Genomic DNA, 5,200 nt, shown 5'->3' on the forward strand with positions numbered 1-5,200 from the left:
ATGGCCCAGGATGTAGCCTATCTTGGTATGTGCTCATGGGCACTTGGAAACAATCTGTATTCTGTTGTTGGATGGTGTGTTCTGCAAATATTAGATTAGATTCTGTTGATTGATGGTGTCATTGAATTCTTCTATATCCTTGTTCATTTCTGTCTAATTGTTCTATAAATTTGTGAGAGAGTGATGTTGAAGATTCCAGCTGTAATTATGGATTTGTCTATCCCTCTTTTCAATTCTGTTTTTGTTTCACATATTTTGCAACTCTGCTGTTCAGTGCATGTGTATTTAGGATTGCTATGACTTATTGGTGGTCTGACCCTCTTATGACCTTTCTGTTTCTGGTAATATTCTTTGCTCTGAAGTTTATTTTATCTAATATTAATATAACCACTCCTGCTTTCCTTTGATTAATATTTATAGGATATATCTTTTTCCATTCTTTTAATTTTGACCTGCCTATATAATTATATTTGAAGTGAGTTGTTAGACAGTAGATAGTTTCAATATGTGTTTTAATTCACTCTGCCAATCTCTGTCTTTTACGCTATTATAGACCATTTATATTTAATGTAATTACATGTACAGAAGGGCTTAGGTCTGCCATTTTGCTTTCTGCTTTCTGTTCTCTCTATTTCGGGTTCTCTGTTTTCTTCTTCCTGCCTTCTTTTCTTTTCCCTAACTTTATTCCTGTTTTCCTGCCTCCTTGAACATTTATTACAATTACATTTTTATTTATGCTTTTTGAGTATATTTTTGTGTAGCTTTTTACTTGTTAATTGTTACTTTAGGTATTGCATTATATATACATAGCTTGTTATACTCTAATAGTGTCATTTGACCAATTTGGGTGAAGTATAAAAAACTTACCTCCCTTAACATGTCCTTACCTTCCCCCATTTAAATACAATTATCTTAAATGTTTTCTCTATATACACTTAGAATCACATTATGCAGTTTTATAATTTTTAGTTTAACTGTCAAACATAATTTAGAAAACTCAAGGAAAGAAGGAAAGTCTATTGTATTTACCTGTATTTTAGCTTTTATTTTTTCTTCCTGGTGTTCCAAGGCTCCTTCTTTTACCATTTACTTTCCATTTAGAGAACTTCATTTAGCCATTTCTTTAGGGTAAGTCTGCTAGTGATAAATTCTATTAAAGTTCCTTCTTTTGAGAATATCTTCATTGGCCCCATTCATTCCTGAAGGATACTTTCACTGGATATTGAATTCTGGGTTGACAGTTCTTTTCTTTCAGCATTTGAAGAAAGCAAAACAAAATAAAACAAAACAAAAAACACTGTACTGCTTTCTTCTGGCCCCCATGATTTAAGATAAAAAAAGTCTGCTATTATGTTGTTTACTTGCTTGCTTGTGTGTTTTTCCCCTTCAGGTAAGATGTCATTCTCTGCCTGCTTTCAGAACTTTGTCTTTAATTTTCAGAAGTTTAATTATTATGAATCTTGACATGAATTTCTTTGGATTTGTCCTGTTTGTGGCTCAGTAGATTTATGTCTCTTGCCAAATTTGGGAAGTTTTCAGCCATTATTTCTTTCAGTGCTTTGTCATCTTCAGTCTCTCCTGTTCTTTCGGGATCCTGATAACATAAATGCTGGATGTTTTATTGTAGTCCCACAGGTCACTGAAACTGGTTTTTTTTTTTAGTCTATTTTCTCTGTGTTGTTTAAATGAGTTATTTTTATTGTTCTGTCTTCCAGTTCACTGATCCTTCCTTTGTCACTTCCATTCTGTTAAGCCTAGCCACTGAGTTTATTACTTCAGTCATTTTACTTTTCATTTTTCATATAGTTCTTTATATCTTCTATTTCTTTGCTGAGATTGTCTTTTTTTTATTTGTTTCAAGCATGTTTATATTGCACATTGAAGCATTTTTATCATGGTCACTTTAAAAATCTTTGTCAGACGTTTCTAATACCTCTGTCATTTTAGCATTGGCCTCTATTGATTGTTTTTCATTCAGTTTGAGATCTTTCTGGCTGTTGGTATGAAAAGTGAGTTTTTTAAATTGAATCTTGAACACTTTTTATTAAGTGATAAGCCTTTAGATCTCATTTAAACCTCTTGTTTTAACTTCATTTCTTTAATGCCACTTCAGCAGGGGGAGGAATAGCACTTGCTTGTCACTGGCAAATGGAGGTAAAAGGCCAGATTTCCCACTGAGCCTTTCTTGACACCAAAAGTGATGATGCAGGTTATGGGGAGAGTTCCTTGTTACTTCCTGGCAGTGGTAGGAGCTCTGGCTCCCCAGGTGGTCTCCATTAACACTTGGGTGGCATGGTTTTATTACTGCTGGCTGATAGTGAAAGTCCTGACTCTCCACCAGACCTCCTCCTACACCACCCTAGCAGGGAGGGAAAGAGAACCTCATTACTGCCAGATGAAGATAAAAGTCAATGCTACAAAGTTCCACAAGTGATCTCCAGCAACACATGGTTGAATGGAGGAGGAAGGCGAAGAGTTGGTCATGCAAGTTCTCTACTTGGCTCGATCTGACACCACCCTGATAAGGATGTTGGGTGCCTTATTACACCCTCATGGAGGATAGAACTCAACGCTCCCCACTTGGCCTTTGTTGACATGGCTGTGGACAGGACCACAGTTTTTCCTATAATGTTTGGCTGGAGTATGATAGCTATTGTCTAAAAGTTTTCTGTGTTGCTAGGCTGCCCCTTTCCTGTTACATCAGTCAGAGATAGCTTTTGTTGGGGCTTAGTTTTTCTGTGCCCACTGGTGTTTCTGGCTTGTTGACTCCTTCAATTCCAAGTCTGGGATATATGACATAAAAAGAAAGCCCAGGGAACTCACCAGTATGTTACATCTTGATTCCTGAGATCCTAAGTCTGTCTTCTTCTCTCCACTTTTCAAAGTCTTCTTATGCTTGTGTTATATATACTATCCAGGATTTTAGTTGTACTTATTAGGAGGAATAGGGGAATGTGTAACTACTCCATTTGTCCAGAAGCAAGAGTCTTTCACAGTCTATCTTTAAAATTTGAATTTGTTGCCAACATAAGTTTTCAAATGTGAGAATTCAGATATATGGCTTCTCTTGAAAACTTGGAATATTTGGCAATATTGGGCCCACATTCCAGAATGGAAGTAAATGGCTAGAGCTGCATTGTCCAATATGGTAGTCCACTAGCCACATATGGGCTATAAACATTTAAAATTAATTACATTAAGTAAATAAAAATTTTAATCCCTCAGTCATACTGGCCACATATGACTAGTGACTACTGTATTAGACAGTTCCGCTACAGAACATTTCCATCATGAAGAACAGAAAGTTCTTCACACAGCACTGGATTTGAGTGTGATGGGAACATGCATGTCCCAGTATGCCATATCCTTACCATGTGATAATATATTAGGTCATGTCATTCATTTACCTCACCTGCTGAAACATTTGTATTTATAATCCCTAGTTTACAGGGTAAGTAGGATTTTTGACTTACGGAGATGCAGAGGTAAGCGTTCCAGGTGGAAAGTCCAGCAGGAACAATAAAACAGGTGGGAGGAGCTGTGGCCCTAGAAAATCAAGGCAGTTAGATTTGGACAGAGATTAAGAGAGGAATAGGGAAAGAAAAGCAATGTAGAGGCCGGGCGCGGTGGCTCACGCCTGTAATCCCAGCACTTTGGGAGGCCGAGGCGGGCGGATCCCGAGGTCAGGAGATCGAGACCATCCTGGCTAACACGGTGAAACCTCGTCTCTACTAAAAATACAAAAAAAAAAAAAAAAAATTAGCCAGACGTGGTGGCGGGTGCCTGTAGTCCCAGCTACTTGGGAGGCTGAGGTGGGAGAATGGTGTGAACCTGGGAGGTGGAGCTTGCAGTGAGCGAAGATTGCGCCACTGCACTCCAGCCTGGGTGACACAGCGAGACTCCGTCTCAAAAAAAAAAAAAGAAAAGAAAAGAAATGTAGCTATTAAAGACTCACAGCGAGGATATAATAATAGTACCCATTTTGCCTCCAACTAGTTGTGTGGCCGGGCTAAGAGGAGACCTTGCCAATCTCACCTTGGATCACTTGCCCTATTGTTCTCTGAGCCCCAGCTTACCCTGGCTGTCTCTCAGTTCATTGGATGTCCCAAGTAACTTCCTTCCTTAGGATCTTCACATTGCCTAGGCCTCTGCCTGGACCACTCTGCACCCCAAGTTTCAACCCTACATGCTGGGCCAACTCCATTTAACCAGCAAACTCCCCTGGCCATTTGTACTCACAGCCCCACATTCAAGTCCATGGCACTCATCACAATGTATATTTATCATCAACTGGAGTATGTACTTATCTTTTTCTCTCTCTCCCCCTATTTAGCTGTGAGTTTCATGAGAGCCAGGACCATGGCCATCTTTGTCCACTGCTGTATTCTCTGAATAAGCAGAGAGCCTACCACAGAGTAAACACCAGAGCAGACATTGATTGCTAAAGTTATGAAAGTTATTCAGACCTTAGTTACTGCATCAGCAAAATGGAGGCAATAGTAACAACTGCCCTTGCATTACAAACATATTAGGAGTATAAAACAAGATAGATTATTTTTACATTTAAGACCAAAAAGCTATAAACATTTTTATTATCGAAAGGAAAGGTGTTAGTTAAAAAGTAATCAATTATGAGACTCTCTGGTGGCCCTGTTAGATGGACACAGTATAGAACTCAGGAGCTTAGCTGTAAGCTGAGGTTGTTAGAAAGTGGCTGGACAACACTGCTATGAATTTTGCCCTCATAGTACCCAGTTGATTACTGAATGTTTTGTTTGGCACTAGGTCTAATAGCTTTTATTTTAATCTAAAGCCTGATGGATTTCATTCCAGAGGGAGGTACATTTTATGTCTTAGCTAATTACTTCCAAGTCAATCAAGGAGCATCAAACCTTCTGGGCCTCAGTTTCCCCATTTGTTAAATGAGAATAATAATTGCTGTTCTGTTTAACTCACAGGTTTGTAAAGATCATCTGAGAAAACTAATGGGAACACAGCTGACAAATTATAATGCACTGTGCAAATGTAGGGTGTTCTTATTTGGAAGTAGTATTTGGGCTTCTTGCCCCAGGATGCTGTGTTTACAGGAGGATTGGCCCAAGGCCAACAGTGGTTTTACCATTAAAGAGTGTTCAATTTGAGTGACACCGAAAGAATTCTGAGTGTTGACCCCCAACAAGGCCAGAAAGATAAGGAATGC

General features: G+C 38.6%; 1 long non-coding RNA gene across 1 annotated transcript; it reads right to left on the bottom strand.

Moving 5' to 3' along the window:
• Positions 1 to 1,826: 1,826 nt before the first annotated feature.
• LOC107984815 (uncharacterized) lies at positions 1,827 to 3,546 on the bottom strand. The gene is made up of 2 exons (XR_001752329.2): positions 3,474 to 3,546; positions 1,827 to 2,359 (listed from the first exon to the last, which is right to left on the bottom strand). It is a non-coding gene; the product is annotated as an uncharacterized LOC107984815 (long non-coding RNA).
• Between the last annotated feature and the right edge of the window lie 1,654 nt (positions 3,547 to 5,200).

Source organism: Homo sapiens, chromosome 16 (assembly GCF_000001405.40).
Source record: "Homo sapiens chromosome 16, GRCh38.p14 Primary Assembly".
Lineage (NCBI taxonomy): Eukaryota > Metazoa > Chordata > Mammalia > Primates > Hominidae > Homo > Homo sapiens.